The sequence below is a fragment of the Homo sapiens genome, chromosome 11 (genome assembly GCF_000001405.40).
Source record: "Homo sapiens chromosome 11, GRCh38.p14 Primary Assembly".
Lineage (NCBI taxonomy): Eukaryota > Metazoa > Chordata > Mammalia > Primates > Hominidae > Homo > Homo sapiens.
In genome coordinates this window covers 123,629,188-123,641,881 of record NC_000011.10, presented here as the reverse complement: position 1 = coordinate 123,641,881, position 12,694 = coordinate 123,629,188, and the positions used below count along the sequence as shown (strand labels likewise).

General features: G+C 44.9%; 1 protein-coding gene and 1 long non-coding RNA gene across 4 annotated transcripts in view; one reads left to right on the top strand and one right to left on the bottom strand.

Moving 5' to 3' along the window:
* The window catches only part of SCN3B (sodium voltage-gated channel beta subunit 3), a 25,437-nt gene extending 12,743 nt beyond the window's left edge, over positions 1-12,694 (top strand). For 2 of the 3 annotated variants that reach the window (NM_001040151.2, NM_018400.4), the window contains 3 exons: positions 3,558-3,696; positions 7,676-7,761; positions 8,106-12,694. In NM_001040151.2, the coding sequence (NP_001035241.1) occupies positions 3,558-3,696; positions 7,676-7,739 (203 nt within the window). In that variant the 3' untranslated portion in view covers positions 7,740-7,761; positions 8,106-12,694. The remainder of the gene's footprint in view (positions 1-3,557; positions 3,697-7,675; positions 7,762-8,105) is intronic. The other variant, XM_011542897.3, reaches the window with a different exon arrangement.
* LOC124902777 (uncharacterized) lies at positions 408-3,343 on the bottom strand. The gene is made up of 2 exons (XR_007062929.1): positions 3,262-3,343; positions 408-915 (listed from the first exon to the last, which is right to left on the bottom strand). It is a non-coding gene; the product is annotated as an uncharacterized LOC124902777 (long non-coding RNA).

The window sequence follows — 12,694 nt, the reverse complement described above, 5'->3', positions numbered from 1 at the left end:
ACCTTGAGAACCTCTCTCTAAACCAAAGTTTGACAATCTTTTTTTCTTTTGTCTTTCTTCACAGTAATCACACGTGCAACCTCTTCCCCATCTGTGGCATCTCTTATTACATAAATTCATTCCCTGCTGGGAGAAGGGGACAGGTTGATAGCTCTCTAGTCTTGTTTAAAATCTTTGGACTCCTACAGCTAGTTCCGTGTTCGTGAGTGGGAAGGCCTTTCAGCAGCCTAACTCAGGTGTTTCTGTTGCAACCGGAGTCCTGCATCCTGAGGGGGGAGTTCCAGCCTTTCTCAGTCTATCTCCAGCATTATCACTGCTAGTGAGCAGGCCAAAGTGTGGGGCATGAAGGAAAAGATCAAGTTAAAGACAGGGCTCTTCCTAGAAAAAAGGATCCAGGAATCCCAACCTCCAGGCCACAGGTTTATTCATTTTTTATCATGTCGTTGTGATAAAAATAATGAAGCGGAGATTCAGTCCTCAGAGTGAATGAACAAAGGAGAAAGAGACATAACGGATCAGACGATATGACTAAAATGGAAGGTAGGTCAATTCTGAAAGTGCAGAGGGACTCTCAGGGCTCCTGAATCCAGACCTGATGAGTCACTTCCCTGCTCGGAGCCCCGCTCCTCTGGTGTGAAATGAAGGGGTTGGCGGGGGGCTCTCTGAGGTACTCCCCTGTTCTGAAGTTCCTTTATCCCCCGTTTGTTACACGCCTTTCCTCTGGGGGGTGGGGCCCTGGCGCCCTCTCCTGGTCACCATCTGGAACTTTTGGTTGGTGCCCGCCAGACCTTAGCACAGTGCTCAGCCGTCTCCACCTCTGCTCTCTCGGGCTTTTGCCTCCAGACACCCTCGTGCATAGCTGGTGGGAAGTGTGGCAAGGCTGAGCTAGTTCGTCTGCCAGGTACCAGAGCAAGCCTCGGGTAAAAACAGAAGGAAAAACAAGTTTATTATCAGAGCCACAGAGCCTCGTGGATGGTCGGGTGTGAAGGAAGCGTGGATATCATTTATTTAATCCAGGGCCTCTGGATAAAGGGCAGACATCAGAATCGCCCACATTGGCGTCCTCCAGATGTAGACACCTCTGCAGCACCCTTGCAGGTGTGAGATCGGCAGGGGTGAGTGAGGTCATATGCAAGTTGATGACTCCCCAGGTGATTGGAGGGTGTAGCTCTGGTGCCCCTCTTTTTGTGGCTGGGAGAACAGAGTTCTCTGCAAGAGCAAGGGGCTTGCTCAGGGACGTGCAGCAAATTCGCGCTGGAAGCAGGGTGAAAATCCAGATTGTTCGCCTGTCTGGAGGGCTTGCTTTCCACTGTTTCTTTCCCCACCCCCACCACCCCAACCCCCTGCCACTTTTTCTTTTTTGCCTCTGTGACATCAGATACTCCCTGCCCTCATCTTGCTCAGAGCTACGCACCCACCCCACCATGACACCTGCCCATCAACCCCACATCTCCTCCATTCCTGTGGTCCCACAAGGTCTCCCTGGTTCTCTTTGTTCAAGTTGGGTTTATTCTGGCTTTGGCTGTCACCTCCTGGCCCTAAGGCAGAAACCTGAGGCCTCTTCACCTAGAGGTAACTAAAAATACTGAGGACAGCTTCCTGTATTGCCATTTGTGGGCTACTGCATTTTGAAAGAGAGAGCATGCTTTAAGCCAAACAAATCATAAATAATGCACGAGGTGGTAGCAAGGCGGTGAGATGTTTGAGCTGTACGGCATTCTCATGTGCCTCACGCTGCATCTATGACCTCTAGCTCCAGTTGGAAACCTGGGTGATCCTGGAGCCTTCGGACTGCTCTCTGGGCTGAAAGTTATGGCAGGCTGTGCTGTGCTCTTAACAACCAAGGACTTGGGGATGACTTAGATCCAATGGATAACTGCAGATCATAAATCTGACTTGCTGTTGAGAGCTGGCAAGGGGAGAGGTGGCTACAACATTTCTCCCACTAGCAAGGAGTAGATATATCAGGATATCTGCCATGTAGTATGTTTTAATGGTCCTTTTTGTTGATCATGAAACAAATAAGATAATATTTATTTTCACTCATTCAATAAGTACTTATTGAGCACTTTAAATATTCTAAGATTTATACAGCAGGCAGATAATCCAGAAATAAATATGTTCTCAATAAGCACACAGTCCACAGAAAAGAAAGATAAGCACAATACAACTCTTATAACAGATGGATGAGAAAAGTGCATGGAGGCCAGACGCGGTGGCTCACGCCTGTAATCCCAGCACGTTGGGAGGCCAGGGCAGGAGGATCACCTGAGGTGAGGAGTTCGAGACCAGCCTGGCCAACATGGTGAAACTCCGTCTCTACTAAAAGTATAAAAAATTAGCTGGGCATGGTGGTGGGTGCCTGTAATGTCAGCTACTTGGGAGACTGAGGCAGGAGAATCGCTTGAACCTGGGAGGCGGAGATTGCAGTGAGCCGAGATCATGCCACTGCACTGCAACCTGGGCAACAAGAGCAAAGCTCCATCTCAAAAAAAAAAGAGAAAAGAAAAGTGCACGGAGAAGGTTGTGAATAGCTCCGCATGAGAAGTTGGGGATGGTTTCACAAAGGAGGGGACCTCACAGGAATCTAGAACTACTGCGAGACTGCAAAGCAGGAGAGGATATTAGCACAGAACTAGCCGTGGGTGAAAGACACAATTCAGGAAGAGGGAAGAGGAAGAAAAGTTCACAGATTCTAACATACCACAGTGTGTAGCAGAAGTTTTTCTGGCCAACCAAATGGAAATGAGGTGAGAAAGCCCGGATTGTGAAGGCCCTTGCATGTCACGTGAACAGAGTTGGGGCTTCATCCTAAGGGGAGTGTGGAGCATTGAAGAGTTTTCAGCAGGGAAATGGCAGGATCCTAACTGTGTTTCAAAAGTACAGCCCTGGGGACAATGCGGTTGATACACTAAATCCTCCAATATTTATGTTTGGTTTTGGATGACCTGGAAGGTCTTGTTTCTAACCCAGACTTGTAGAGAACATGCGCATATCTCATGGAGGCTGTCTTTGTTGGCCCTGAATGAGTTTTCCAACGCTCTCTCCCCAGGAATACCACCCTCCACCACCGGCAGCTCAAAAGACAGAGGCAGTTGAAATAAGGCATGTTCCTTACATCTGTGTAGACTTTTAATCTCACAAGATGTTCTGAAATACATTAGATAATGTAATATTCACAAACCCCTGACTGGTGTTATTATCCTCAACCTACAAATTAAGAAACTGAGTCTCAAGTAAGGGAAATGGTTGTTTACACACCTGTAAATAGCAAAATGGACAGCCAGCTCTAGATATCTCACTTTGAGGCCAGGATTCCTTCCACTGCTCGGCTACTTCTTCCAGGCATCCCACTCCCTCTTCCCTGGCTCCTGAGCAGCTGATGACAGTCAGTGAGAAAGCCAATGGGCGGGAGAGTCAGGATTTGGAATACCTTTGACATCTTCTTGAGTTTCTTTACTCAGTCTTTATTTAAGCTGTACTTAAAAATATGGCTCCAATGACGGCTCTAGGTTTGCTGGATTTGCATATTCTGAACCTCATTCTCTTTCTTTCAGCTGGAGAGGACTTCACCTCTGTGGTCTCAGAAATCATGATGTACATCCTTCTGGTCTTCCTCACCTTGTGGCTGCTCATCGAGATGATATATTGCTACAGAAAGGTCTCAAAAGCCGAAGAGGCAGCCCAAGAAAACGCGTAAGTCCAGAGATGCCAAAGTAATAATGAAAGCTAGCACCTTCAGAATGCTTGCTCTCACAGGTGAGGTGCTAAGCAGTTTACATTCATCCTCCACCCTCTTCATGATCACTGCTTAAGAGATAGGCACCATTATTATACCCATTTTACAGATGAGAACACTGAATTTCGGAGAGTTGGCTTAAGGCAAACTCTTAATTCATTACGAAAAATTAAACATTTGCTTAATTCAAACATCACTTAGGAAACAAAGTGATGTTTGAATTCAGGCCTGTTGATTCTTGGCCAGCACACTTAACCACTAAGGCAAAGACCATCAGCTGCTACCACAACCCGTTAAAGTAATATTATTATGGCTGGGCATGATGGCTGTCACGCCTGTAATCTCAGCACTTTGGGAGGCTGAGGCGGGAGGATCACCTGAGGTCAGGAGTTCAAGACCAGTCTGACCAACATGGTGAAATCCCGTCTCTACTAAAAGTATAAAAAATTAGCTGGGCATGGTGGCACATACCTGTAATCCCAGCTACTCGGGAGGCTGAGGCAGGAGAATCCCTTGAACCTGGGAGGCGGAGGTTGCAGTGAGCTGAGATCGTGCCACTGCTCTCCAGCTTGGGTGACAGAGCGAGACTCCATTTCAAAAACAACAACAATAAAAGCCCAAAAACACAACAAAAAAGTAACATTATTATAACCGTTCTGTAAATGCCAAGCCGACTCATAGCAGCTTACCAAGGCACACAGATGGTAAGAGGAAAGGCTGAGATTTGAACCCAGGTCTCTCTAGTGCTAATGTCCATGCTCTTTCTATCTCATTGAACTGTTTGCTTTATACCATGGAGCTCCTCAGGCCATCTGGGCACTGCCCTTTGCTAGCAAAGGAGCTCCAAGCAACATGTTATTTCCCCTAGAGCCTGGCAGCGCTTAGATGTCCAGAGTGGGGACTCTAATCCTCTAAAGTCCAGCCTGTACCTTAGCCATTTGCTCAGAGACTCTAGTCACTTGAGGGTGAGCACATTTGAGAAACGGTGGGGTCTGTAAGAACAAAGAGTCTTAAGAGATCATGCTGGCTGGTTGTCTGGGGAAAGGAAAGATAGAAAAAACCCACAGATTTCTAGCAACATTGCTGAGGCAAACCGAAAACAGTCTAGGCTATTACCAGTTAGAAATGTTTGATAAAGAAAGCATCATTTTGGCCGGGCGCGGTGGCTCTCGTCTGTAATCCCAGCACTTTGGGAGGTCGAGGCAGGCAGATCATGAGGTCAGGAGATCGAGACATCCTGGTTAACATGGTGAAACCCTGTCTCTACTAAAACTACAAAAAATTAGCCGGGCATGGTGGCGGGTGCCTGTAGTCCCAGCTACTCAGGAGGCTGAGGCAGGAGAATGGCGTGAACCTGGGAGGCGGAGCTTGCAGTGAGCCGAGATCACGGCACTGCCCTCCAGCCTCGGCGACAGAGCGAGACTCCATCTCAAAAAAAAAAAAACAGAATAGAACAGAGAATGGAGGAGAGACAGTGTTCAGAGACAGAACGGCTGAGGGAGGGATGACTCTTCAGATTCAAGAAGCATAATATGCCCTGAGCAGGATGAATAAAATACATCTACACCTAAACACCAAGCATCTTTAAAGTGATAAATGGCAGCTACTAAGAGACCCTACAGCAAATATCATCTATGTGTTGAAACCTCAAGTGCCTGTAATATCAGGGACATATCAAGGAGACTGCCTCTCCCTGTTTCTATCAATATTGTGTTGGAAATCCTAGGTGAAGACCAAGTAAATACAAGGAAGAAAAAGACTTGGAAAGGAAGAAACTAAATTATCATTATCTATACCTACTATTTACATAGGATACCTAAGAGAATCTACAAAAATACTATTAGGACAAGGAAGAATATTCCACAAAATTGTTGATAGAAATCAAAATATAAAAATCACCTATATTCCAGCAACAAATTTAGTAACAAATTTAAATATTTAAAATATTAAAATGCTTTTAAAGTTACAATAGCAAGAAGTACTCCCCAGTTCCGGGGATAAATTTGACAAAAATATACAAGACATTTAAAGAAAAAGTTAGAAACCTTTACTGAAAGACTTTAAACGTAACTAGATGGAGAGTAAAACCTCACAATTGTAAACAATTTTCTCCCAAATTGATCTTCAAATTCAATGAAATCCCAATCAAAATGCCCATTAGATTTCTCAAAGAACTTAATAAGCTGATATTAAGTCACATGGAAGGCTAAGTAGCCAAAAATAGTCTTAACCAAGGGACAGCCAGATAATAAGTGTTTTAGGCTTTGCAGGCGCCATAGGTCCCTGTCATGTATTGTTCTTCTATTTGTTTGCAAACAACCATCCTTAGCTCTTAGGCCACAGTTTGCCCACCCTCGGTCTAAACCATTTCAAAGAAAGAGCAGTAAATTTGCAAGAGGTTGGTAGGATTTGTCTTATCGGAGATGAAGGTTTCCTTTGTTTTCTTTTTTTTTTTTTGAGACAGAGTCTCGCTCTGTTGCCCAGGCTGGAGTGCAGTGGCGCGATCTCGGCTCACTCCAAGCTCTGCCTCCCAGGTTCACGCCATTCTCCTGCCTCAGCCTCCCGAGTAGCTGGGACTACAGGCACCTGCCACCACGCCTGGCTAATTTTTTGTATTTTTTTAGTAGAGACGGGATTTCACCATGTTAGCCAGGATGGTCTCAATCTCCTGACCTCGTGATGCACCCGCCTTGGCCTCTCAAAGTGCTGGGATTACAGGTGTGAGCCACTGCGCCCAGCCAGATGAAGGTTTCTTACAGAGCTATCAGAATACAGAGTTTGTGATACTGCACAGGCATACGAAATGGACAAACAAAACAAAAAGCCACCAATCAGGTTAATGCATGTAGGAAAACCTGATATGTGAGAGAGATGACGTTACAGTGATTGAAGGAAGAATGAACTGCCCAGTAAGTGGTCTAGGGAAAATTCCTAATCTATATAGAAACAAAGAAAAACACAAAACAAAATTAGATTCCCCATCTCTCATACTAAACCAAAATAAATTATGAGGGGATTTAAACACAAAGTAAAATGTCAAACTTGAAAATTCCATTAAGGGAATATAAGAGACTCTCTTTATCACCATGCAATAGAGAGGATTTCCCAAATAAAATACAAAAGGCACAAATCCAAGAGGAAAAATAATTTTGATCACATTATATGTAAAGAATCAGCTGTTCATTAGAAGACTCCATAAGCAAAATTCCTAGACAAACAAGAGATTGGGAGAAATTGTCAAAACATGAAAGCATCAAAGGAAAATCAATGAGAAAAAGACAAAGATCTCAGAAGAACTGGAAAGCAGATGAACAAATTTCAGAAGCAGAAACCCAAATAGCCTGTAAACATGTGAAACAACTATAAAATATAATTTCACAGCTGTCATTTTGACCAACATTTTATTTTATTTTTGAGACATGGTCTCACTGTTGCCAGGCTGGAGTGCAGTGGTGCAATCATGGCCTCGACCTCCCAGGCTCAGGTGATCCTCCCACCTCAGCCTCCCAAGTAGCTGGGACTACAGGCACGTGCCACCATGCCAGGCTAGTTTTTTGTATTTTTTGTAGAGACAGGGTTTCACCATGTTGCCCAGGCTGGTCTTGAACTCCTGGGCTCAAGCAATTTTCCTGCCTTGGCCTCCCAAAGTGCTGGGATTAGAGGCATGAGCCTTGGCCAACATAATAATCTAACTAAATGCTGAAGACAACCTGGATAAATGAGAAGCTATACACTCCTGGTGGGTGTTCGTGTACATATATGGGGGAAATGATTATTTTAATCTGCAGAAAAGGTTGTTTTTCTCTTGAGAAACACAGCAGAAGGAAATGCAGAGCTGTTCTGTAGATCCTTGCTCCTGTGCCCTGCTCCTTCCCCATCTTGTGTTCCCACGCTGGGCACTGAAGCTCTGATTCCCTTTCCCTGTGTCCTCTATAGGTCTGACTACCTTGCCATCCCATCTGAGAACAAGGAGAACTCTGCGGTACCAGTGGAGGAATAGAACAGGAGCAGTGTGACATGAGGTGACCTACAGGAACATGGGAGGGGAAGGCAGATGTGGATGGCAGGTTGTACAAGTGACTTTGTTGCCCACAACTGAAGTGACTTTAAATTTGGTCCCTTAGGTCACTGTCTACCCTGCCTGGGGTCCCCGCCCTCAGGGTAATTCTTTAAGTCAGAAAGCTCTGTATGATGTCAGCGCTTCGGAAGGTGAACTGCTTTGACCTGAGTGTCGAGGCAATCTGAACTTGCCCATGGTAACAGAGGCACAGGATTCTCCAACTCCCTTCTTTGGTCAAAGAATTTTTGGGCTGGGCTGGGCTGGACTGGGTGGGAAATTCTCAGTGAGTTATTTTATCTTTGGTAGGTGGCCTGAACACCTGAGGGACTGGACATCCCATGTTCAGCAATGTCAATGGCATCAGGAGGGCGCCCCAAGGGCCCCATCGCTTCCCTTCATGCATCCATTGTTCTGTTCATTCATTCATCCATACATCCACCTGCCTCTGAGCTTTCACCTCTGACTCCCTAACTCCATCAGACCTCTACGCACCATAAGACTCTGCCAGAACTGAGAAGCCAACATTTCTACATAGACTCAACCTCACCCTCTCCTAGTTTTCCAACAAGACACTCCAAAGCCAACTGGATTTCTCCCCTGTGCTCCAAATGACTTTGTACAAGTGCTGGAGTTAGCACCTCCCTCTGCCCTTAACTGGCTGGAACTGGTTCATTCTCCATTACTGCAAGAGAATGGAAGTCTTAATAGAAGGAAGCAGGAGTGATTAGTTCGGGTTAAAGCAAAAGTGTGTCATGAACTTGGATTCCCTGAAGTCAGTTTTGTCAGGTTCATGGCCCACTTTGCTACAGCATCAGAGTGAAGCACGCCTGTCTAGGTTCTCCAGTGACAGAAAGATCCTGAAGCATGGACTAACATGCTCTCTGGAGCTTAGTACTCCAGAGCTAGATCCTGATGGGTCTCTAAGGTTCCCTCCAAGAAGACAAGGACAGGAGACTTGGGAAGGACCAATGGTAATTTAAGTGGCTCTTAAAAAGTCATGCAACATGTTTCTGGACACGTTCCTGATCCTATTGCGATAATGTATGTGTGCCCTCCCTGTGGGCACACCACCTGGGCATTAGGACTGAAATTCCTGAGTTCTTCCTCTCAAAATTTCTGTGCACCAGTATTATTCCTCATTTTACATACAGGAGGCAACTAAGACTCATACAGGGCTCAACTGAATAAGAGGCTTAAGAGGATAAACTGGAGCAGAAATAAGCCTTAGGTGCTGCCCAGTTTACACTTCCTGGGATGGATGTTTTTGTTTGTTTTGTTTTTTGTTTTTTTTGTTTGAGATGGAGTCTCACTCTGTCACCTAGGCTAGAGTGCAGTGGTGTGATCTCGGCTCACTGCAACCTCTGCCTCTTGGGTTCAAGCAATTCTCATGCCTCGGCCTCTCCAGTAGCTGGGATTACAGGTGTGCACCACCACGCCTGGCTAAATTTTGTATTTTTAGTACAGACAGGGTTTGACTATGTTGGCCAGGCTAGTCTTGAACTCCTGACCTCAAATGACCCACCCACCTCAGCCTCCCAAAGTGCTGAGATTACAGGCGTGAGGCACTGCGCCCGGTGGATAACTTTGTTTCTGAAAAGACTGACATTGAACTTGTCTATGGCAATGCTTCTTTCACAAGCACGGACTGGGCTGAGGTCAACTCTGATAGATTCAGATGACTAGAAATTGGCCAAAAAAGCAGGGAGAAGAACATGAGGTAGACTTAAAGAACTTCCTTTATGTAAAGATCTGTGACTCTGAAATATCCTCCAAAAGGAGAGTGCATCTGAGACTGATATTTAAACTAAGAAAAATGTTTAGTCTGAGATGGATCATAAGTAAATGAGCAGTGTGAGAGGGGAGGGATGGGTAGGTGCTTTCCAAATACTTCGCCTATGAATGCATAATTTTCAGATTTTTTTCCCCTAGATTTTGAGGGAGCAGAGAAACTGGAAAAAACTTTAGTCAATATCTCGTGTTTCATTTTAATTAAGTGACAGGTCCAAGTGTGACATCCTTCAGCACCCAGGGACAAGAGAGGGGAAAGATGCTTTATGGAATGTAAGAAGATGAAGGTGACTGGGATTCAGCGAGAGAGAGGTCCCTCAGACCTGGGACCTCCCTTTATAGGGAAAGACCATATTCCATAGGTTTAGGGCTTTACCTTAAAAGCTCATTTTTTTCATTCTTCCATCCCTAGGAAAGTACTTAAAACCAGACTTTTAAATTTTTATTTATTTATTATTATTTTTTTGAGACAGATTCTCACTCTGTCTCCCAGGCTAGAGTGCAGTGGTGCAATCTCAGCTCACTGCAGCCTCAACTGCCCCAGGTTTAAGCAATCCTCCCACCTCAGCCCCCAGGTAACTGGGACTACAGGCATGCACCACCATGCCTGGCTAATTTTTGTATTTTATGTAGAGACAGGGGTCTTGCCATGTCGCCCAGGCTGATCTTGAACTCCTGGGCTCAAGCAATCTGCCAGCCTCAGCCTCTCAAAGTGCTGGGATTACAGGCCTGAGCAACTGTGCCTGGCCCAAAACCAGACCGTTAACACATTAAAGAGTCTGATTTTGTTGAAGAAAATATTTGCAATAAATTCAAGACTCTTCTTATTGGTAATTTTCCACACAATCCCTCTGAAATAAGGGAGAGGATATAGACCTTTTTAACTTTATAGTTAGAAAAATTGGCCTCAGTGTGAAATTTTTCCAGTCCCATAGCTCATGGATGCCACCAGCTTGCGGTAGTAGCAAGATGCTTACTACCACACCGTTTTCCTCGGTGGCCCAATAGCTCGTGTATCTAAGTTGAACCCGGCAGTATGCATGATTGCCTTTTTCTCTTCTTTTTAAAAAAACCCAACTCAGATGCTGCTTGCGTGGCTTTTAATGAAGCTGAATGGTATCTATCACTTATTTATCCTTGACAGGTTATCTTCCCCACTCTTCCTTTTTCTAACTTCTCCATTCTTCTCATTCTTGACACTTTCATTAGAACTATATGGTTTACGAAGTATTTTCACTTAACTATTTTATTTCTTCTCTATAACTGGTCCTGTGAGGTCACATTACAAAAGAAGAAACTGAGGGTCTCTGAGGTTAAGTAGCTTTACTAAATTATAAGGAAACCTAGCTGGTAGGTAGACAGCAAGAATCCAGGTCTTCTGACTCCTCTTTCAGTTCTCTTTCCACTTAGACCATAGCTGCTTCCTTTTCTTATTTTTTAGCTTCCATCTAACCATTGCCTATCTTGCCTGTCCTAATGTTCTCCATCTTCTCTCACCCCTAATCCCACTCACTGCTTCTCTACCACTTTGCTTTTTGGTGGATGCTAGCAATGTGCTTTGAGAGTCAGTCCTATTTTGGTTCTCTTTCTAGTTGGTTTGTACATCATTATTTCTCCTGAATTGCAATTAAACTCCTTCCTGGGAGATTTGATAATGACTGTAAATCAATAAGGTACTGTGATCACCAGCCTACTTCCAATCTCCACCCACCTCCCTGTCTCTTCCCATAATCCTACGAAAGACCCAGACTAGATGTCTGTTTCTCTGGAAGCTTTATCTGGCATGATGTTGCTTATTAAAGGGCTTAGAAGAGTTCTCAAGGGCTATTAATATCACTTTAGAAACCCCATCTGTTGTCTTGGTGCTGGATATTTCCCATGTCTGATCCTCAATAACACAATTCACTAAAGGCCAAGCTTGGCTCAATCTGATTTTCCCATTCTTACTACTTCACAGCCATGAATGTGATTGCTCAATCCAGTTGGCCCTGAGAGCACCTTGCCCTGCTGACCTTCACTGTCACCTCGGTCTTGAATCAGAGCCCCAACCCAAACACTCCCTGCCTGTCCCTACCCCAGCCTTTATTCTCACCACTTGTTTAACGGCATGACCTTTTAGTTTCTCCATTCCCAGACACCCACACACCCAGACTTCCTTCTGAGTTGCAGGTTTCTCCTTAGATGTCCAACTAGAAATATTACTAGGAAAGTTACTTTTCAAAGCAGGAATGTGCTGGGAAGTAGGAGACAGCAACTCCCTCCTCTCTCCCCAAAATTATTGGATCAAAAAAGAAATTCCATCCATCTCAGAATCTGTGAGTCCTCCTCACATAAATCTGAGGGAAAAGGCTGTGTCACTGCATCTTTGCAGGAAGAAAGAGAAGCAAGAGCTAGACACACTTCAGAATATATCTTAGTTTCCCCTTTCCCAGTTTAACATGAAAATGAAAAAAGAAAAAAATGAAAAACAAAAACAAAAGAAGCCTTCCTCTCACCTCATTTTGTAAATGAAAAATCCCTAATTCAGTGAATTCACCTAGTCACTGCAAATGTATCTGAATAGTGCTTGGTGTGCTTGCCAGTCTGATCATCCACTCATTCTACTAACATCTTTTTGCACCCACTCTGTCAAGCTCTAGCCTAGACCTTTAGTGTGCCATGCAGTCACAGGTCTGAAAAGCAGCATCATCCAAACCTTACTTAATCTCTAAAATCTCAGCTGGTGGACAGCTCATGATTAGTTCAGCCCACTTCCTCCCCCTTAGTTGAGTTTGCAGCAGGACGCAGGAGATAAGCACTTCCAAGCAAGTCTGATTTATATATCAAACTCGGTCTCCATCCCAGGCCAGCTGACCCTCAGAGCCAGCAATGCTCTGTGCTTCCTCCCTGCGTCACGGCTTGGCAAGAGCTGCCTCTGCTGAGCAGTGTGTGTGATGGAGACGGAGGCCGCTGAAGGCCGAGTGCTTGCAGGCTTGTGAACTGCCATCGAACACAATCCAAACTCTGGAAATGTTCCTGACCACCTAAGCCCTCAACAACGTAATGCCTGTATGTGCTGTTTTTCAGTAAACTCCTTGTTCATGTCAATAAAGTATCCCTGAAAACCA